We start from the raw sequence: 20,498 nt of genomic DNA, 5'->3' as shown, positions 1-20,498 counted from the left end.
GCCAGTGTCAGTCGTGCGAGCTCAAGAAAATGGACGAGCCAGGCCCAGGGGCCCGGCTCCTCCGGACTGAGAATGGCTTCAAGGTCTTGAGTCATCGTCGCATCTTCTCAGCAAAACCCAAACCCTGTTTCGAAGTTTCCGGGGCGCAGATGACCCAGGTCGACAACCCAGCGATGGCTGAGGGGAGCCCCCAAGCCTTGAGAAGCAACCCTCTCAGCAGGTGCCTTTACCCTCTGGTCAGGAGAGAGGAAACGCCCCACAAAAACAGCAGGTAGGAATCCTTCGCGTTCAGAAGATGAGAAGAACCAAGGTGCCGTCGGGGCTAGTGCGGGCTGCGCCTTCTCTCCGAGGCCTGTCGCTCGTCTTCCTGCCACCAGGTGGCGCCAAAGGCGTTTCGTCTCTGCCCGCCAGGCCGCCGGGCTCCAGGACTGCGCTGCTGGAGTCTCTGCCGGAGCCCTTGGTGCTGGGGTCCTGGGGTCCCTTCTTAGCCCCCTTAGCACGTCGCATCTGGGCCCAGAGGAAAATCCACTTTTACACACACCCTCCACCCTGGCCCCAGGAAATGTCAAGGCCTTTGAAGTGAGGCTGGGAGCTACATAACCAACTGGGGAAAAAAATTAAAAGGTGGTTTTATGTTATTTGTAATGCGTTGGCAGAAGTTTTGTTTTTTCTCCCCCATTTCTTGAGGAAAGGCATTAAACTCGTCCTTGAACGGAAATCACAGAAGGAAACCATAAGGCATTTTAAACAAGAATAAAAGAAGGGCATCTGCTTAGGTGTCTGGAAGAGGGTGGGCGAGGCAAGAGAGAAAAACACCACGGTGTGAATATAGCCAAGTATTCCATTTATTAACAAAATAAGTCTTACCAAGGGAGAGCTCTGTTCGTCCCAAACAGGCCCCGCAGCCCCCGCGCTGCCGCATCAGACCAGAAGGAGGGAGGAGTGGGGAGAAGACCCCAGTCGCTGGGGGGTCCACTCTGGGGGCTCTGCCGGGCCAGGCCTAGGAGAGGGCGGGGGCTGCTGTGATCCGAGAGCTCCCTGACGCCCCAACCTTCCCCGAACGCAGCTAACGAGCTCGTGACATCCGCTGACATCGCCACCGGTCTGCTTTGGAGGGATCTAGCGAGAGTCACCTACCCCACCCCTACTGCCAGGGGAGGGGTCGTTGCCCCCACGAGGGAGAGAAAAACAAGGACTATAATGCACTTCGCAAAATGTAAGGGGCCGGCTTCACGCCAGCGGGGCCTTCTGGGACTTTGAATTCAACCAGGTGAGCGCTCCAGGTGCCCCGACAGGCGCACTGTAGCCACTGGGTGTTAGGGGCGGGAGTCTGGAAGGTGACGGTAGACGGCCACTTGGGCCCTTCTGGGGGCGAGCCTACTGGTGGGGTCAGGGCTCTCCGTGCTCAGAGCAAGGTAGAGGAGCAAGGCCCTACTTTTGGGGGGCAGGGTCCAGACCAAGGACCCTATGCGCGGAGGGTGGCGGGGGAGGAGTCCCGGAGCAGTGTACCAGGTCAATAGAGCTCCAGGGCCCCTGCCACCCAGGTGGCCCCCTCCACCCCCAAAATGAGTTACAAAAAAAACCTCCTCTCTGTTACTTGTACAACAAAGGAAAAAACAAAACAAAACAAAACAAAAAACAAAAACAGAACCGCAAATGGAAGGAAACAAGAGGGAATGAAGGGGGAAGAGGGAAAAAGAGAAGGCGGAAACGTAGTTTTAAGTTAAGACTCATGCAAGAAACTCCCCAGGAAGGGAAAACAAAACGTCTAGAAGAACCCAAAGACCCCAACTCTCCCTCAAACCAAACCAATCAAAACCAAAAAAAGAGGAAAAGGAATAAAAAATGTAAAACTTATATCTAAGAAAAAATAACAGAAAGGAACAGGGGCGGGGATCATGTCGTTATTTGTGGGATTAATATTATTATTTGGGAGAACACAGACTTTTTGCATACCATTGACTCATGTGGGCCGTTAATGCACTTATATTCCCAGCTTGTAAGCTAACATTATAGTAAATAAATACACAGTCCGGTGGGGAAGGGCTGGGTGGGGAATCCCGGCAGGGTCAAGCAGTAGTGGAGGTTGCAGCGGCGACGGCAGGTGGGGAGGGAGGAGGAGGGAGAGGGAGGAGGGTGAGGGGGCTGGGGTGGAGGAAGAGCTGTAGTTACTGGTATCCCAGCGCCGAGGCTGAAGCTAGTCTCTGTCCATACAGCGCGTATGGCGAATAGTAGGGTCCGGCTGTGGGGAGGGACGGCACGGCCAGGCCCCCCGCTGTGGATAAGTGGCTCTTGCCATAGGGGTGGTACCGGCTTAGGCCCAAAGTGTGTGGATTCCGCAAGGACAGCGACCCGGGGCTGCCGGGGGCGGCGGGCGGGGGGAGGTGCAGATGGCAGGAGGCGGCGGCGGCGGCGGCGGCGGCGGCGCTGCCCAGGCCCGAGGCCCCGGGGTAGGCGGCCAGAAGTTTCTCGGCTCCCGGCAGGGCCGTGTGGGTCCGTAGGTGGCTGAGCAGCTCCTCCGAGGTGGCGAAGCGCTTGTCGCACGGCCCACTGGCTGCCACCCAGTTGCAGCTGTGCGGCAGCGGTTCGTTCTGCAGCATGAAGCCGTAGGTGTAGAGCGGGTGGCCGGGGAGCGCGGCCTGGGCGGCGCTGGACGAGAGCGCGGCGGGCTGCAGCGGGTGCCCGGGGTACACCAGCGGGTAGCCCCCCGCCTTCAGGCTGGGCCCGGCAGGGTCGTGCGCGCTGCAGGTGGAGCAGCTGGAGCCGCCGAGGTGCGAGGCGCCGTGGTAACCTCCCAAGCAATAGGGGTCGCGGCATAATCCCTGCAGGAAGGAGGGCGGGGAGGCCCCGGTGAGCGGGCTGGAGCTGGGGGGCTTGCCCGGCGGCAGGCCCAGGCCCCCAGACAGCTGGCCTCCCACGAGGCCGGACTTGCTAGGATCCAGGCCAGGCACGAACTGAGACGGGTAGCCGGCGTAGGCGCCCACGATGGAGCCGTGGTAGCCAATGCTGGAGGGCGGCAGCGGGAACACCGAGTGGCCCGGCTTGTAGGGAGACACCGGCGCCACGTGGCCGGCCCCCACCAGCGCCGAGGGCGGCTCGGACTTGCGCCCGGAGGCCCCGGACTCGGCGCCACCGTGCGCCCCGGGCTCCCCACCGCCGCCGCGGCTCACGGCTGCCGGCTCCGGGCTGGGCTTGGGCTCCTGGTCTTTCTTGTCCAGCTCCCCGCCGCCAACCCCGCCGCCGTTCTTGCAGTCAGAGTGGTGCGGGGAGCCGCCGCGGGAGCCGCCGGGCGACGACGAGGACGAGGATGCGGAGACCGGCGCTCCATGCGGGGGAAAGGGCGGGCAGGCGGCGCTGGGGACCCTGAAGCCCGCCTTGTCTCCCGGGGACGAGGAGGACGAGGAGGAGGTGGAAGACACCGAGGAGGAGCCGCTGTCTTTGCGGGAGTCGCCGCCGCCGGAGCCCTTGGAGTAGGGCTTGAAGCTGGACTTGTCCTCGGCCGGTGAGTCCCCCAGCTGCTTCAGGGCCGCGGCTGCGGAGGCGGCGCCCGGGGCTGAGCGGCCGGGGTCCTTCTCCGCTCCCAGCCCGTTGGCCGCCGCCGCCACCGAGTTGAGTTTGGAGGAGGGCGGCGGGTCCGGCTTGCCGATCTGCGAGCAGGTCTGAGCCAGCAGCGCCAAGGGGCTCTTCTTGGCGTCCAGCTGTGGGAGACAGAAGCAGGGGGAGGGAGAAGGAGTGAGACTCAGAGGCCTGCGGGGCGAGCGGGGGCGCCCGGGGAGCTGGGCGGCGGCGCCACGGGGCGGGGCGGGCCTGGGGAGAGGGTCTGCGAGCGAGGGCCGGGCCGGGCGCGGCAGCTGGCGGAACTGCGCCCACACTGCCGCTGGGTCCCGGGGTGCGCCGCAGGCCCTGCGGAAGGAGTTCACCCAGGACCCCTGCGGGAGAAGGTGACGTCTCTGGAGTCGGGGCTGTGACTCGCCACTTCCCTCTAATGTCCCCCTCCTCCAGGCCCAGGAAAAAACTTATTCCTTTAGTTTGGGGGAACTTCGCTTGGGACGGGTTTCTGGCGATGGCGCCGCGGGGTAGGAGAGGGGAGCGCGGATTCTAAAGGAGGGGCTGCAGTTGGCGCTCTCTCCGTAGCCCCTCCCTCCCGGGGAGGGCACCCAGGGAAGAGGCAGGAAGAAAGATCCGGGATCGGGAGCGCCAGGGCGCCGTGCGCCCTCACCGGATGGGACAGAGGCGAAGTGGGACCCGGGCAGCCAGGGCTTCAAAGAAAACAGCCCGGCGTGGGGGGCGGGGAAGACCCAGCAGAGACCAACTCCTGGCTGGAAACTGGGGATCAGAGGAAAAGTAAAGGACCCAGAGGGGACTCCAGGAGCAAATCCAATCCGAGAGAAAACACGGAGCTCCGAAGGGCGAGCGTGGAAGGAGACCCTTCCACGGGGAAGCCTGGGGAAGCCCTGGTGGGCTCTGATCCCTCGGTTTTCTTCCCCTCCTCACTCAGCCCGCCAGCGTGACCAGACTTGGGTGTCGCACCGAGCCCCGGGGCGCTGGGAGCTGGGTCAGGGTCCCGGTCGCGGTGGGAGGAATGGGGCCGGCGCCCGGGGGCAGCGGCCGGGGACTGACCTCAATGGGGCTGACGGGAGTGGAGGACAGCGGCTGCAGGTACTCCGGGTGCAGGAGGTGACCGGTGTGAGCGCTCAGCATCTTCAGGACCCTGATCGGGAGCCGGTTCGCCTGGCGCAGGGGGTCCGCCGGTGGCAAGAGGGACACCGCTGCCGGCACCGCCGGCCTCTTCCCGCCGCCGCCGCTGCCGCTGCCGCTGCTTTCGGGTGTCCTTGGGTTAGATCCAGCGGGCGAATCGCTCATTTGGAGGAGGCAGCGCCGCTGGGGGGGCGGGGAGGGCGGGGGAGCACCGGGGAGGCGAGCTCCCGGGGCGGGTGGGCTCGCTCCGCAGCGTCGATCGCGGTGCAGCGGGAGCTGCGCCTCCTCGCCGCCTCCCCTCCTCCACCGACGCCTCCGCCGCCGCCGCCACCGCCGCTGGCCCCGGCTAGCAACACAAAAACCTTCGCCTTCCTCGAGCCGCACGTCAAATAGCCGCGATCGGCAGCCACACTTCAAAGGGATCGCCGCGCCCGCCCAATCGCAGCTCTCGCCGGGACCCCGGGGCGGGGAGAGCGGCGGGCTGAGGCCGGCTCCATCGGTGGGCGGGGAGAGCCTTAAAGGGGCCGCGCCGCGCGCCGCCGCTGCCTCGGTCTCGGCCGCTCCCGGGATTCCTCCCCTCCCCCCGACTGGGCCTTCCTCGCCCTGGGGTCCCCCGCCTGGGACGGGACTTCTCCGGGACCCTGAGCTCTGCGCCCCGTCCTCCTTTCCGGCCGCTCTCTCTCCTCTCTCCCTTCTCACCACTGGGTGGGTGGGGGGTGATGCTGGCGGGGGCTGTAACCCCGCCCGCCGTGTGTGTCCGAGGTGGGGTGGGGTGGGGTGGGGTGGGGTGGGAGGGATCGCACGGCGCGGGCTCTGGGACGCTGGAGTTCAAGCCTCTCCCAGAGGCCGCCTGGGGGCAGGCCTCGCCTCGGGAGCCCGGGTCCTTCTCCAGAGCTGCTCCGGCTCTCCTCGGCCCCGCTCTCCTTCCCCTACTTGGCCTCCCCTTGGTGTGTTCACTTGGAAGCGCCCGAGCCTCGGAGGCACCCACTGTTCTCGGGACGCGGCGTAGGCAGCTCCAACTACTTTGAGCCCGTCTTGTCTGAAGCCTGCAAGTTTGTCTCCCTTCTGGAGTGACATGGTCGGCGACCAAGCGCGGGACCCCAGGCTGTGCGCGCTGTGCCTGCGCCCTGCGTTAGAGGCTCGGTGTCTGGTGTGTTACAGGCTTCTTACCGTGTCCTGCTGAGGGGCGTGAAGTTCCTCACTGTACCGCGCCCAGCTGCTACGAGGAGAGACCGAGATCACGGGCGAGGCGGGTGTCCCTGGAGGGGGATCTCTCTCTAAGCGCTGCTCGGCAACACAACCCCTCCGCCCCCCCATCCTTCTCACTCCGGGGGAAAAAGCACTTGCTTTCCCCAGGCAAATTTCGGGATAAAAACTTTTAATTAAAAATAACAATACCCTTCCCGACTCCCTGCGCCTTTCTGATACAGTGTGCATTGCTAGCTTCGCCCTGGGCAGAGATTTTACGTAGTCATAGTCCTGACATCCAAGTTCCGGATCCGCCGCTTTTCCGGAGGCGAAGTTGGTCCTTTGGGTGCCGAACTCTGGGGAGCCCACTTCTCCGTGCGCTCGGCGGCCAGTGGAGGCGCGCTGGTGTCACTGCCTGGCTCCCAGCACCACTTTTCCAGTCCCGATCCATCACTCCGGTTGTCAGGGCTGTCACTCGGGGCGTATTGCTCTAGGATGGCAGGTTCCCGACTCTGCCGCGCTGACCGACGCCTTGAGATGACCTGAGAACCCAAGATGGGGAGAGGTGATTTCAAAGGAGCTCTTCAAACAGAAAGAAATAGCTATCACGAATCTGTATCTTGCCCAGTAGTAGAAGACAGCAGACCCCACTTCCAGGCAGTATCAGTCATACCCAAAACTAAGTGCACTCCCTGGATCCATACTGTATTTTGGGCAGCACTTATAGAATGCTTAGAAATTACACAAGCTGTAATTACATGTTCCCCAATTTTAATCTTGGTAAAATCATGTTACGCCGAATGGAAAGGGGTACCCTGACTGTGAGATGGATCCCACATTGCAGCAAGAGGGGTGCGGGAATGAAAAGGGAGGGAGTGATCTCATTTATTTCATCGTGGCAGGCTTCTCATGCCGACTTCTGTGCGGGCAGCCATTGCCATCACTGCAAACACCACCTGTAAAAGTCCACTGCAGGGCTGTGTCCACCCACAAGCCATTTTGCCTTCGGGAGACTGCTGTGTAGAGCGGGAAGGGCAGAAGGAAGCCAGGGTGCAGAGAGGCTGGCCTTTGCAGGAACGCAGAGGAGGAGGAGCTGGGCAGAGGGGAGACCTAGGAGGCTATGAAAGATGAAAGTCTCCCTGATTATTGTAACCAGCCCAGCTGTGAGAGGGAGCCAAGGGATCCTTCTAGGGCCTGAGCAGATGTGTGTTAGAAATGATTAATGGGAAATAAGTCAGGAGGAAAAGGGGAGGGGAGAGGGAAGAGGTATTTAGGAATTTGGAAAACAGAGCAGGAGGCAGCTGAAAGGAGAGAGGGGAGAAGAGAGAGGACAATAGAATATTCACTCTCTGTTTGGAGAGGAAAAGAGAAGGAAAAAGGTAGTGAATGAAGGAAAGGAAGGGAGAGAAGAGGAGGTAAGGACAGACTGGCAGGATGTGATGGGGGATTTGCCTAGGTAATACTATACTGTCCTGTTAAAAACACCTCACTCCCTGAGCTCCCAGTGGTAATTACTGACGGGCACACAGATTGGCCTGCTCCCACCTCCTGGGAAGTGGTAGGACACACCTCTGAAAGCATGCAAGGCGGGAGGGACACACTTTGAGCTGCTGGTCAGGGCAGCAGGGTTTCTTTGGCTGGATCCATCCAAACGTCTTAGGAGGGAAAATGAAAAACCATGCATAGCCAGGCCAGAGGCCTAATTAAAACACTGCTAGATGATTATTACAATTGGGATTCACCATTCACTTAGCTAAAATGCTAACCTATACAGAGCACTAAATGGGGCCCTCGGGGCCTGAAGGCAAGTGTAGTTTTCAGAGGAATGGCTTGTCACCTGGGAGGGAATGTGGCTCTGTATTCAGATGGGCTGTGTTTATGGAGGGCGATGTGGTTGGAAGGCCCGAGTAAGACATCCCTGTTCAGGACATATGACACAGGTTCTCCCTCTGCAAAAAAGTGGCAGATGCGTGGCTCAGGGGCCTTCCACTGTCCAGGTCCTCCTCAGATGGCCCTGGGAATGAGCGGCCACCATTAAAATGGGACAGGGGAGAGGGCTGCCTGAGAGTGCCCCCATGACACTGTGGTGAAGAATGACAGTTCGGTATGTCAGGCGCTTAATAAACATCAGGTGTTGCTATCATTCTCAGTTCAAGCTGAAGAGAGTCAGGCCCAGAACCAGGCTGCTGTGGGGACCCCGGGCAAGTGAACCTCCCTAAGCTTTGGTTTCCTCCAGGGTAAAATGGAAGCGTGGCCACTTCAGAGTTGGGAGACCAGAAGCAGACAATGCATGTCACCTGTTTCATGCTTGGCACAAAGAAAGTTGAAGGTAAATGATGGCTGTAACCGATTGCATCATTTGTGTCTGAGGAGCAATTGCTCAGGGGAGCAGCCACATCAGCACCAGATTTAGCCCTGGGAACCCAAGCAGAAGAGCCCAGGTTGTCTCTGAATTCTACAGAAATGAAAGTAACCCTTCCCCAGCCTCCAGTTCAATGTGTCTTTTTTTTTTTTTGAGACGGAGTCTTGCTGTCTTGCCCAGGCTGGAGTGCAGTGGCATGATCTCGGCTCACTGCAACCTCTGCCTCTCGGGTTCAAGCGATTCTCCTGCCTCAGCCTCCCGAGTAGCTGGGATTACAGGCGTGTGCTATGATGCCTAGCTAATTTTTGTATTTTTAGTAGAGATGGGGTTTCTCCATGTTGGCCAGGCTGGTCTTGAACTCCTGACCTCAAGTGATCTGCCGGCCTCAGCCTCCGAAAGTGCTGGAATTACAGGCATGAGCCACCGTGCCCAGCCCGCAATGTGTCTTAAAAAAAAAAAAAAATAGCCCATCCCTCCCTAGAAGCCATCAAGAAAATCCTTTAAGAAACTGTGAATATGTATAGATTATTTTTTCACTACTTCAATTTACATAAAATTCACCACCCAGGAAAAAATGCTCGAGTCAGGTTAAGACCTAGAGGGGGTAGATTTGTTGTGTGGGGTTAATGTGTAGTTTTCAGTCCTTGCCGAGGCAGAATTGCCTGAATGATCGCCTCTCTCTCCTCTCTCTGCATAACACTCAAACCCTAATGGCAACAACATGAAATAATATCTCACTGGGTAACTATTTACATTTTTTTTTTTTTTACAAGCTGTAAGAACTCTGAAAAGTCTGCCTCATAGAGAACTTGGTTTTCCTCCCTGGCGCTTAATATCTTTCAGCGGCTGGCAATTACTGCTTTGGCCGGGAGCCCTGATTTAGCACACTGCACTCAGGGCACTTGAAGGCGCTTCCTCTGTCTGCCCCATCCCCCGGCTTCAGACACAGCCTGGGGCACGAGAGGGGCACCAGGGAACAGTGGGAGCAAGCAGGCTAAGACCAGGACAGCCAGCCCTGCAGGAAGCCCGCCCCACCGATGACTCAAGAGGCTCCCTCTTCTACATTCTCACAGTTGGTATTATGTTCTATTATTACACCTATCACATGGCATCTGCCACTATTTGCTTCCTTGTCTGATCTCCCACTGGACTGTGAATGCTTCTTGTTTTCCTCATCCTCTTTGTGTACTTATTGCCTAACAGAGCGGTTCACCATCACCACAGTAGCCAACGTTGAGTGCCAAACGCTGTTCTAAGCACTTTGCGTGCATTCTCTCATTTAATCCTTGCAGAAACCTTAGGAGATGGGTCCTATGGTTACTTCCATTTCACAGGCACAGAAAGGTTAAGTAACTTGCCCAAGGCCCAAGCTGGTAGGAGGTGAGCCTGGAGTGTCAAATCCAGGTCCAGGCAGTCTCAGTGCAGTTAGTACCCAGTGAATGTTTCTGATGAACGAAGAATTTTACAAAAATAGGGCTATTTATTTATATCACACCTCACTGTATTCCCAAAAGGTTTAACACGGATGATTGTATTTTTCAAAATGTTGATTGTATAAACATGTTAAAGTACCTTTTCCCAAATGCATTGTTTTTTTGAGACAGAGTCTTGCTCTGTTGCCCAGGCTGGAGTGCAGTGACGTGATCTTGGCTCACTGCAACCTCCGCCTCCTGGGTGCAAGCGATTCTCCTCCAGTCTCAGCCTCCCAAGTAGCTGGGATTACAGGCGCCCACCATCATGCCCAGCTAATTTTTGTATTTTTAGTAGAGACAGGGTTTCACCACGTTGGCCAGGCTGGTCTTGAACTCTTGACCTCAGGTGATCCTCCTGCCTCAGCCTTCCAAAGTGCTGGGATTACAGGCGTGAGCCACTGCGCCTGGCCCCAAATGCATCTTTGGGTCCAGCATCTCACAGCAATTTTCTTTCCTTTGGGCAGGTGTTATTATCCTTGTTTGACAGATGAGGAAATGGGCTCGGAGAGCTTAAGGGAGCGTCCAAAGTCACACACAGCAAAAGGCTGGCAGAATGGGCACAGAATGAGTCCTTCTCGGTCCCTTCCCTGGTTCTTGGTCTATTGCCTTCTGCCACTGTTGTTGTGTGGACAGAGAGCTAACTCCTTTTGATAAAAGAAGGAAGAATGAACTCCTTTTCCTCACCTAAGAATTTCCTCTAGAGATGTGGTGGGGAGGAAGGGACAAAAGGAAGTGCGGACCAAAGCTTGTCTCCAAGCCTGTGCGTTTGATCCCGGTCCTTGAGCAGCTGCTTTGAAGAGGGTGGTTTGGTTTATCTCCTATCAGCTCCTGGGGAGCTAGGCCGGGGAGATGGAGTAGGTGTGATTTTGAAGTTCTCCTTCCTTAGCCTGACCTGCCCTGATACATCAACGCTAGCCCTGGGCATTCACCCCTGACTGCTTTGTTCCTTTGGACCTTCAAGTTTCTTAGAGATTCCTCTTTTAAGTCGCTAATGTTGCTGGGAGGCGTCAAACCCTTTTTATCAGCCAATTGTGGTTAGCAGAGTGAGTGTTCCTCCCAGGATAATAATAACATCTATTGAACACTTATCCTGCTAGACACTGTATTGAGCACCTTGCCTGTAATAACTCATTTACTTCTCACAGCAAACCATGGTGAGCACTATTATTATGCCTGTTTTATAGGTAAGGTACTGTTTTGTAGGTGAGGCCCAGAGAGGTTAAGCAACTTGCCTGAGTTACACTGCTAGAAAGTGGTAGATCCAGGATTCAAGTCCAGATAGTTGGTTCCTGAGCCACTCCACTCTACAGAGTGCGGGACTGAAGGAGAGGGAGGCTTAAAGTCAGAGAGAGCAGGAGGAGAAACTGAAGACAAATTGATCATTTTCCAGAGGGCTGGTCTTCTCCATCAGATTTTCCTTTCATCTTGAGAAATGAGAAATAGGGGAGGGAGAAAACTGAGGCAGAGAAGGAAGTGAGGGGAGCTTCCATTTATTCCATTAATTGATTAGATTGAATTGATTAACTCAATTAATCATGCATTCAGTTACTCTTTATGGACCACTTGGTAGGTGAAGGCTCAAGGCGATTTCATGGTGGGTAAAGACCAGAGGAAGCCAGCAAGCCCCGTGCCTGTCTCTCGATGATGCACATTCAGCAGCTGCACGTTCCTATCCTCTCTGCATCTGCGTGCTCCTTTTGCAGATTAAGAAATAAAAAAGTCAGGAGGCTGTAATTGAAATCCTGCTTAGTATCCCCATCTTTCAGTTGCTCCCTGATTTTTTGTTTGTTTGTTTGTTTGAGATAGGGTCTCGCTCTGTTGCCCAGGCTAGACCTCAGTGGTGCAATCACGGCTTCAAAATCCTGGGCACAAGTGCTCCTCCCACCTCAGCCTCCAGAGTAGCTGGGACTACACGTGCATGCCACCACACCAAGCTCATTTTTAATTTTTTTTTTTTTTTGGTAGAGATTGGGGTCTTGCTGTGTTGCCAGGGCTGGTCTTGGCCTCATGCAAGCCTCCTGCCTTGACCACCAAAAGTGCTGGGATTACAGGCATGAGAAACTGCGCTGGCCCACCCACTTTTTTTTTTTCTTTGAGATGGAGTCTTACACTGTTGCCCAGACTAGAGTGTGGTGGTATGATCTCAGCTCACTGCAGCCTCGGCCTCCCAGGTTCAAGCTATTCTCCTGCCTCAGCCTTGCAAGTAGCTGGATTACAGGTGCACGCCACCATGCCTGGCTAATTTTTGTATTTTCAGTGGAGACGGGGTCATGTTGGCCAGGCTGGTCTTGAACTCCTGACCTCAAGTGATCTGCCCTCGTTGGCCTCTCAAAGTGCTGGAATTACAGGCCTGAGCCACTGCACCTGACCCCCACTTCTTTTTTAAGTGCATTTACTTCAAATTAAATTCAGATTTCCAGTAACGTTTACCGAGCAGCTTCTGGGTGCAGGCATTATTCTAGGTGTGTTCATGCACCTTCTCTCACTTGGGTGGAAGGGGAATCCAGGATTAGAGTGAAAGGCCCCTGAAATAAGAAGCAGGGCCCATGCTTACCTGAGGGCATTGTGCCCCCCAGCATCCTGCCCTTCCCTGCATTGAGTGACCGCTAGCCAGAACCACAGGAAACCTCAGCCCCTCCAGAAGACCTTGCTGGGTGTCAGGCTGTGAGTTATCACCTGGTTCTGACCCTCGCCGTGGCTTTAGTCATGAAGGTGATGATATTTCCATGACCCCCTTTCTAAGGAATAAACGTCTAGGCTTGTCCAAAATGTGCCCCTTTCTCGGCCAGTCTTCCAAGCTGGGATGGGCAGCTCCAAATTCATTTAAACAAACACAATTCGAGAAAAAGGGGAGCTGTTCAGGAAGTGACTTGATGATCGCAAGTTGTATTTGATAAAACCAAATTCTAAGATGTCAGGAAAATTTCAAGGAGTGTTTATTTCAGTGGCCCTCTGCCAGCCTCTGCTTGGAGAAGGGGGCCTGAGAAGTGCGGCCCCAACCAAACTCATGGCCAAAAGTATAATGGTTCATTCAGAGTGGGGATTTACATAACAAGCCCCCTTTAAAAGTGATTTAGAATTATTTTTAAGTTTGTCGAAAAATGCATTTTATTTATTTATAATGAAGTGCATTCCCATGGCACCAATTTCCAAAGCTATGAGTGGAAAAAACCTTCTTCCAGCTGTTGATCATTCTCAGTGCATCAGTGCTTTGAGTTTATTGCCCATCCTTCCAGAGGTATTTTTTCACATATTGGCAAATACATATATATATATATATTTTCTTCCGCCACCCTTAAACTTTTTTTTTATTTCCATAGGTTTTTGGGGAGCAGGTGGTATTTGGTTACATGAGTAAGTTCTTTAGTGGTGATTTTTTTTTTTTTGAGACGATGTTTCACTCTTGTTGCCCAGGCTGGAGTGCAATGGCGCGATCTCGGTTTACCGCAACCTCTGCCTCCCTGGTTCAAGCGATTCTCCTGTGCCACCACACCTGGCTAATTTTGTATTTTTAGTAGAGACGGTTTCTCCATGTTGGTCAGGCTGGTCTGGAACTCTCGACCTCAGGTGATCTGCCCGCCTTGGGCTCCCAAAGTGCTGGGATTACAGGCGTGAGCCACTGCGCCCGGCTGCATTTTTAATTTCCATAGGTTTTTGGGGAACAGGTGGTATTTGGTTACATGGTTACATGAGTAAGTTCTTTAGTGGGGATTTGTGAGATTTTGGTGCACCCATCACCTAAGCAGTATCCACTGAACCCAATTTGTAGTCTTTTATCTGTCACCCATCCACTCTTTCCCCTGAGTCCCCAAAGTCCATTGTATCATTCTTAGGCCTTTTCATCCTCATAGCTTAGCTCCTGCTTATGAGTGAGAACGTACAGTGTTTACTTTTCCATTCCTGAGTTACTTCACTTAGAATAATGGTCTTCAATTCCATCCAGGTTTCTGTGAATGCCATTAATTCATTCCTTTTTTATGGCTGAGTAGTATTTTTTATATATATATATATATATATATATATATATATATATATATACATGCCACAATTTCTTTATCCACTCATTGATTGATGGGCATTTGGGCTGGTTCCATATTTCTGCAATTGTGAATTGCTGCCACCCCTTTTTTTTAAAAAATAGAATCTCGTGCAGGCGCTGAGGCTGGAGTGCAGTGGCACAATCACAACTCACTGCACTCCCAACCTCCTGGGCTCAAGTGATCCTTCTACCTCAGTCTCCCAAGTAGCTAGGATCACAGGTGCATGCCACCATACCCAGCTAATTTTTAAAAAATTTTTGTAGAGATGGGGGTATTGCTATGTTGCCCAGGCTGGTCTTGAACTCTTGGGCTCAAGTGATCCTTCTGCCTCGGCTTCCTATGGTGTTGGGATTACAGGCATGAGCCACTGTGCCTGGCCTCTTTCCCCCTTTTATAAACAAATGGGAATATACTATATGAACTGTTCTGTACTTGCTTTTTATTTATTTTTATTTTTATTTCTTAAAGATAATATATTTTAGAGATTGTTTCATGGGCTTCTATGTTTTGTTTATTTATTTATTCCAGTTCCACAGCATTGTTACATGGATATGCCACAGTTTATTTAACCACTCCCCTACAGCTAGATATTTAGTTTTTTTTTTTTTTGTTGTTGTTGTTGTTTTGAGACAGAGTCTTGCTCTGATGCCAGGCTGGAGTATAGTGGCTCAGTCTCGGCTCACTGCAACCTCCTGCCTCCTTGGTTCAAGCGATTCTCCTGCCTCAACCTCCCGAGTAGCTGGGCCTACAGGTGTATGCTACCACGCCCAGCTAATTTTTGTGTTTTTAGTAGAGACCGGGTTTCACCATGTTGGCCAGGTGGGTCTCCATCTCTTGACCTCAGCCTCCCAAAGTGCTGGGATTACAGGCATGAGCCACTGCGCCTGGCTGACATTTAGATAGTTTTAACCTTTTGCTCCTGCAGTGCATAACTATATATGTCATTGTATACATATAATGTCATATATATGTATGTCATTTATTCTCAATGTGTGCTAGCATGAGTATGGGGGAAATTCCTAGGAGTAGAATTGTTGGGTCAAAAGCTATATGCGTTCAGAACAACTCTGTTTTAAGAAAATTGGTAGGGTAGCCTTGGAGTGTGTTAGAAATTCAGCTTTGGGGCCAGCTGTGGTGACTCACACCTGTAATCCCAGCACTTTGGGAGGCCAAGGCGGGTGGATCACTTGAGGTCAGGGGTTTGAGACCAGCCTGGCCAACATGGTGAAACCCTATCTCTACAACATACAAAATTATTAATAATTACAAAAATAATAATAATTATTATTTTTGTATTAATAAATACAAAAATTAGTCAGACATGGTGGTGCGTGCCTGTAGTTCCAGCTACTTGGGAGGCTGAGGCAGGAGAATCACTTGAGCCCGGGAGGCTGAGGCAGGAGAATCACTTGAACCCGGGAGGCAGAGGTTGCAGTGAACTAAGATCTCACCACCGCACTCCAGCTTGGGTGACAGAGTGAGACTCAGTTAAAAAAAAAAAGAAAGAAATTCAGCTTTGGGGTGTGAGCAGGAATACACAGGAAATGCCTCTGGGACCTTCTGGTCACATTCATTTGGAGAACTATAAAGGCTCATAGAGGAAGTGGTTGCATTTCCATCTTTGGATTTAAGTAAATATCATGCTTCTCATGTTCCCCTTCTCCCCTTCCCACCCTCTCCATCCTTTAGTAAGAGAAGAAGGAGGAGAGGAATACATCAAAGCTAGCCTAAAAGAATCCAGGATATTGACAAATAGATATTTTAACAAAGCAGAATTTCCAGTAACTGAAACCTAATTAAAACTCTGGTTTATCCAGACCTTTTTGGATCATGTTCATAAAAAGGCAAAGGTTATGTCAAAGACAATAAATATATGAAATGATTTTGGTAGTGTCAGCAGAGGTTCATCTTCAGGCTTAATCATGAATTGCCCGAATGAGAACTGTAAAGCACTGGAAGATATCAAAACATGAAATAAATAATTATTGTTAGTAGAGGACTCACCAGGGCAGGAAAGTTGTTTTTATTTTGTCCTTGTTTTTATTTATTTTTTGCATAGGTATTACCTGCAAAATTTAAAGGTACAAAGGGCGCATCTATATAATTTCTCAACAAGGGCAGAGATGTTGAGAATTTTCTGCTTTATCAACCATTTACGAAGAAAAAAACAGTCAAGCAGAGTCTCTCATTCACTAGGCATTTTGGTTTACACAGCTTCTCATTGCAAAGACTCACAGCTCAAGCCCCCCATTTTTTTTTTTTTTGAGACAGGGTCTTGCTCTGTTGCCTAGGCTGGAGTGCAGTGACATGATCTTGACCCACTGCAGCCTTGATCTCCCAGGCTCAATCGATCCCCCTACCTCAGCCTCCCCAGTAGCTGAAGCCCAACTTTCGTCTCTTCACCATCAGTCCCGGGCTTGGGCCTCGGGGTCAAACTGCACTCTTTGTGAGTGACTTTGACTCTGTGACACTGGGAAGAAGGATCAGGACTGGTCAGTATCTTGATGTGCTTGTAGAGTCAGGATGAGTGGAAATTCCAGGATGTCTAAAGTAAACTTCTAGCAAGAATTCTAGTTCTGTGTCACCCACTGCGTCTGTGTCACTTGCTGCCCCGTGTGCTGAAGAACAGTCACTGGGCATCCTGAGGCACTCCTTCTGTGTCTCTCGAGGCCTGACATTGATGAGGTCAGCACCACTGCTTTCTTCCAGGGTGTGTTTGTTTTTCTCCTTAATTTCCTTAAAGAAATAAACCAATGTACAAATAACTAAACAGCAACAACAACAAAATCAAACCAACCAGAACCAGAAAAGCGACAGCAGTTAAAAACCATGAGTCGAATGTGTCCTTTTCCTTATGTTTATTCTCACTTCCCATCAGGCCTGAATGGGCTCTCCCAGGTCTCTGTCCTCTCTCTAAGCTGGGTGAATTTTTCATCACTGCAGCCAAAATGCATAATGATGACTTTATTGATGACAGGAGACATGTTTTAAAACAGTTGTTTTAAAACAACTGACAAGAGCTGCAAGATGGGAAACGACAAGAAAGTGAGATTTTTTTTAAATTAGGGAGGATGAGATAGGAGGCTGGCAAAGGAGAAGTGTTTTCCTTATCAACTGTTGGAATTTATGCTTTCTTCCTTGAACAAATAAAGCAAACTACCCAGGGCCAGGCGTGGTGGTGGCTCATGCCTGTAATCCCAGCACTTTGGGAGGCTGAGGTGGAAGGATCGCTTGAGCCCAAGAGTTCGAGACCAGCCTGGGTAAGAAAGCAAGGAGAACTCCAGGTCTCCAAAAAAAAAAAAAAAAAAGCAGCAGCAGCTGACCGTGGGGATGCACACCTATAATCCCAGCTAATTGGGAAGCTGAAGTGGGAAGATCTCTTGAGTCTAGGAGTTCGGGGCTGCAGTGAGCTGTGATCACACCACTGCATTTCAGCCTGGGTGACACAGTGAAACCCTGTCTTAAAAAATAAAAAGTAAAAAAAACATTCAGGGCTGGGCGTGGTGGCTCACGTCTGTAATCCCAGCATTTTGGGAGGCCGAGGCAGGTGCATCACTTGAGGTCAGGAGTTCGAGACCAGCTTGTCCAAAATGGTGAAACCCCATCTCTACTAAAAATACAAAAATTAGCTGGATGTGCCTGGTGGTGTGTGCCTATAATCCTAGCTACTCGGGAGGCTGAGGCAGGGGAATCGCTTGACCTGGGAGGCAGAGGTTGTAGTGAGCCGAGATCACGCCACTGCACTCCAGCCTGGGTGATAGAGCGAGACTCCGTCTTAAGAAGAAAGCTGGGGTAAGGACATTGCATAATAACAGTACTCAGAGACTTGGGCATTAGGGCTTGGGGTGCCCTTGAACTGCTTCTTATGGGGCCCTCTCACAAGAGACATTGCTGTATGAAAATGCCAAGGTCATGTGGGGGCCAGGAGAAGGTGAACTCCACTCCCCAGCCCCATGATGCCTGCGTGATGTCTCAGGTCAACTTAGCAGGTATCTATGAGGCCCCTAGACATGAGGCTTCCCAGACGTGGTGAAGAATGCAAGACAGATGTCCTCAGAATGTCAACAGAACAGTAAAGGCTGTTGTACAGACAGTTCACTGAGGATTCATTGGCCTTAGGGAAGACAAATACAGTTGTCTCAGCCTGTGCTTGGGATCAATTCCTTTCCTATGGCTACCAACTGGCGATTGTAATCCTCTCCTTAGGGCTGCTCCCTCTTAAAAATCTGGAGGGAGAATTAAAGAAGATGAGAACTTAGCAGAGTTTACTTGTGTCCTACAGGAGAGAGAGGAGAAACAGAGCAAAAATCAAGAACACATGAGGGCAAGGAGGGAAAAGAAAGCATTTACTTAGCCGAGAAAGAAGCTGCTGTTTCCTCTGTGATGGGAAATTTTTTAAAAAGTCTCAGGAGGTGGTGATGAGACCCAGGGTTTGGAAGGGAGTTAGAGTACTCCTGGCACATCTTTTTAATTTTATTTTTTAAAATGTTTTAAAACTCGGATAGCCTTTTTCTTTCTTTCTTTAAAATATTCAACTTTTATTTTAGATTCAGGGGGTACATGTGCAGGTTTGTTACATAGATATATTGCACGATGCTGAGGTTTGGGGGTACGGTTGATCCTGTCACCCAGGTAGTGAGCATTGTACCCAATAGTTAGTTTTTCAGCCCTTGCCCCGCCCCCCAGTAGTCCCCAGTGTCAATTCTTGCCATCTTTATTTCCATGTGTACCCCATGTTTAGCTCCCACTTATAAGTGATGACATGCAATATTTGGTTTTCTATTCCTGCACTGATTCTCAGGATAATGGCCCCCAGGTCTATCCACGTTGCTGCAAAGAACATGATTTCATTATTTTTTTTATGGCTGTGTAGTATTCCATAGTGTATAGATACCATGTTTTCTTTATCCAGTCCACTGTTGATGGGCACTTAGGTTGATTCCATGTCTTTGCTATGGTGAGTAGCTTTTGCACATCTTTTGAGAAAACTTCTTTTCATGGTTTGGGGGCCCAAGTGTGATGAAGAGGATGGACTGGGAGCAGCCAGCTCTGCTGAAGGGTCTTTGATGATTCCTCTTGTTGTTTCTGGTAAAATTATGTTGATATGGAATCTACTTAATTAATTCAACCAGTTTGTCACTTCTCAAGTTGTCAGGGATTCAGCCCTGGGGGCAAAGATAGCCAGCAGAGGTCTCCAGGGCCCTGCACCCAGCAGCCCGCCGAGCTCAGGCCTGGGCAGGGCAGAGAATTAAAAGCATTTAGTTAACTTCTCCTTGGGGACACAAATTCAGACCTTCTTAGAACACACCCAGTCCCTTACCACTCTGCAAGCAAAGCATGATATTGGTTTCTTTAACCCCAATAGGTTTTGCCAAATAAGAGAGCGTTAATATCCCCCTCCTACCCACCGCATGGATTGAATTACTTAAAGCGTCTTTTTGGAGATGTCAGCAGTTTAATAGAGGCAATAACTCAGGGCTGCCCTTGTGTTTTATTTTTCTGCCAGTATTTAGTTAATCAAAGAATGCAAATTAAAACACCTTAATTTATATAATATCAATACCAATGCCTTAAAACATTTGGCATAACTGCTCTGGCACGTCCCTTACATAAACTCTTCAGAGTAGTGCTAATAAAAATGAAAAAGGTGGTAAATCAAATTTAATTTATTCATTTTCTGTATGGTATAAAAGCATATGCCAAAATCAAGTTATTTATGAGTGCATCATAACAATAGGCATTTTTAGTGGCTGCAAATGACAAAGAAGATTTTCAGAGGGATGTGTGTTTTAATTTTGAAACTTCTCTAGGTACATCTATTTTCTGGGCTCCGAGCTCTAAAATTTATATTTTTGCACCCATATCTCCAGGAAAAAAATAGGTTTAGATATTGAAAAACATATTGAGCCTAAAAACATGGCAATATCCACTCATAAAAGCAGCTGCAACCATCTATATGTAGATAGACATATACACAATACGTCCTATGGTATATGAATCTGCAGGTGAGATAAAAGGTTGGTGATTTATATCCGATTTCTTAAATATTCCATTAAGAGGATTATCTCACAGGAGGCTCAGATACAGACAGCATCGGAAGGGATTTGGTGTGCGGCTGCTTTCTTGGAAGCCTTAGAGATGAACTACATGTACATGAATGAAGAGCTGGACTCGCATTTTCATCTTTCCCCTCCTCTGCTGATGTATCTTTCTTTGTCTGATGGATCTGAGCCTTGAGTACATTTTATTCGGAACTGGAAAGACTGTATGCTGCATTCAGGCTACTGAAGGATGGCATGCTCTCCCTCCCTGCCCTGGCAAACCTCCCAAATGCAATTGTCCTTTTAAAAACCTCTTCCTCACCCAGCCTTTAACTCAATAGGTTACAGGCCATGTGGGAGAGTGGGGAGAAGTTTGGGAGAAACCGTCTCCCCACTGACCATTCCTGATCCCATCCTGACAAACTCAAGCAAATTCACAAATACAACCCTCTAGCCGGCCCATGGCCTCCCTATTTGGGAGGAAAAAACTCAGTATGATACTGTGACATATTTCATTCATTATCTGTTAAGGTGAGCGTGGCAAACCTGGCCGAAGTGGCAGAATATTGGGGCTCATCACTTGGGGGAATGATTCAGGAGTGGCATCCTTCTGTGACCTGTGACAGCCACTTAAGGTTGTGGGATGACTACTACAAAATCCCAAATAAAGTATATCCTAGAGGCTTTCTTTTCTTTT

General features: G+C 51.2%; 1 protein-coding gene and 2 long non-coding RNA genes across 3 annotated transcripts, besides 8 other annotated features; 1 reads left to right on the top strand and 2 right to left on the bottom strand.

Annotated features, from left to right (window-relative positions):
- Nucleotides 1–823: 823 nt before the first annotated feature.
- ZNF703 (zinc finger protein 703) lies at nt 824–5,061 on the bottom strand. The gene is made up of 2 exons (NM_025069.3): nt 4,621–5,061; nt 824–3,698 (listed from the first exon to the last, which is right to left on the bottom strand). Exons 1-2 carry the CDS (start codon nt 4,861–4,863, stop codon nt 2,169–2,171), a joined length of 1,773 nt encoding a protein of 590 aa, NP_079345.1. The 5' UTR covers nt 4,864–5,061; the 3' UTR covers nt 824–2,168.
- Nucleotides 1,185–1,696: an enhancer, noted in NCBI's record as "H3K4me1 hESC enhancer chr8:37556665-37557176 (GRCh37/hg19 assembly coordinates)". NCBI's record gives its function as "activates a minimal SCP1, AML or CMV promoter by ChIP-STARR-seq in naive H9 embryonic stem cells {active_cell/tissue: H9 hESC(naive)}" and the evidence as "EXISTENCE:reporter gene assay evidence [ECO:0000049][PMID:30033119]".
- Nucleotides 4,130–4,672: an enhancer, noted in NCBI's record as "H3K27ac hESC enhancer chr8:37553689-37554231 (GRCh37/hg19 assembly coordinates)". NCBI's record gives its function as "activates a minimal SCP1, AML or CMV promoter by ChIP-STARR-seq in primed H9 embryonic stem cells {active_cell/tissue: H9 hESC(primed)}" and the evidence as "EXISTENCE:reporter gene assay evidence [ECO:0000049][PMID:30033119]".
- Nucleotides 4,673–5,216: an enhancer, noted in NCBI's record as "OCT4-NANOG-H3K27ac hESC enhancer chr8:37553145-37553688 (GRCh37/hg19 assembly coordinates)". NCBI's record gives its function as "activates a minimal SCP1, AML or CMV promoter by ChIP-STARR-seq in naive H9 embryonic stem cells {active_cell/tissue: H9 hESC(naive)}" and the evidence as "EXISTENCE:reporter gene assay evidence [ECO:0000049][PMID:30033119]".
- Nucleotides 4,673–5,450: a biological region, named in NCBI's record as "OCT4-NANOG-H3K27ac hESC enhancer GRCh37_chr8:37553145-37553688".
- Nucleotides 4,951–5,050: a silencer, noted in NCBI's record as "silent region_19107". NCBI's record gives its function as "represses an Ori minimal core promoter by ATAC-STARR-seq in GM12878 lymphoblastoid cells {active_cell/tissue: GM12878}" and the evidence as "EXISTENCE:reporter gene assay evidence [ECO:0000049][PMID:35858748]".
- Nucleotides 5,101–5,450: a silencer, noted in NCBI's record as "silent region_19106". NCBI's record gives its function as "represses an Ori minimal core promoter by ATAC-STARR-seq in GM12878 lymphoblastoid cells {active_cell/tissue: GM12878}" and the evidence as "EXISTENCE:reporter gene assay evidence [ECO:0000049][PMID:35858748]".
- On the top strand, nt 5,162–6,098 carry LOC124901933 (uncharacterized). Its single transcript, XR_007060888.1, has 2 exons — nt 5,162–5,403; nt 5,860–6,098. It is a non-coding gene; the product is annotated as an uncharacterized LOC124901933 (long non-coding RNA).
- LOC124901932 (uncharacterized) lies at nt 6,060–6,913 on the bottom strand. The gene is made up of 2 exons (XR_007060887.1): nt 6,843–6,913; nt 6,060–6,428 (listed from the first exon to the last, which is right to left on the bottom strand). It is a non-coding gene; the product is annotated as an uncharacterized LOC124901932 (long non-coding RNA).
- Nucleotides 6,238–6,422: a silencer, noted in NCBI's record as "fragment chr8:37551939-37552123 (GRCh37/hg19 assembly coordinates)". NCBI's record gives its function as "represses an EF-1alpha promoter that drives an FKBP-Casp9 reporter gene in an ReSE screen in HepG2 liver carcinoma cells {active_cell/tissue: HepG2}" and the evidence as "EXISTENCE:reporter gene assay evidence [ECO:0000049][PMID:32094911]".
- Nucleotides 10,418–10,712: a silencer, noted in NCBI's record as "tiled region #5217; K562 Repressive DNase matched - State 9:DNaseU". NCBI's record gives its function as "represses a minimal TATA promoter and a strong SV40 promoter by Sharpr-MPRA in K562 cells {active_cell/tissue: K562}" and the evidence as "EXISTENCE:reporter gene assay evidence [ECO:0000049][PMID:27701403]".

Source organism: Homo sapiens, chromosome 8 (assembly GCF_000001405.40).
Source record: "Homo sapiens chromosome 8, GRCh38.p14 Primary Assembly".
Classification (NCBI taxonomy): Eukaryota; Metazoa; Chordata; class Mammalia; order Primates; family Hominidae; genus Homo; species Homo sapiens.
Note: the sequence above shows the minus strand (reverse complement) of the source record. Positions and strands in the feature narration are given on the sequence as shown.

Coding starts and splice junctions, on each gene's coding strand:
- ZNF703 (NM_025069.3), bottom strand. CDS start 4,863: ATGAGCGATTCGCCCGCTGGATCTAACCCAAGGACACCCGAAAGCAGC. Junction 3,699..4,620: donor CTCCCGTCAGCCCCATTGAG/GTCAGTCCCCGG, acceptor TGTCTCCCACAG/CTGGACGCCAAGAAGAGCCC.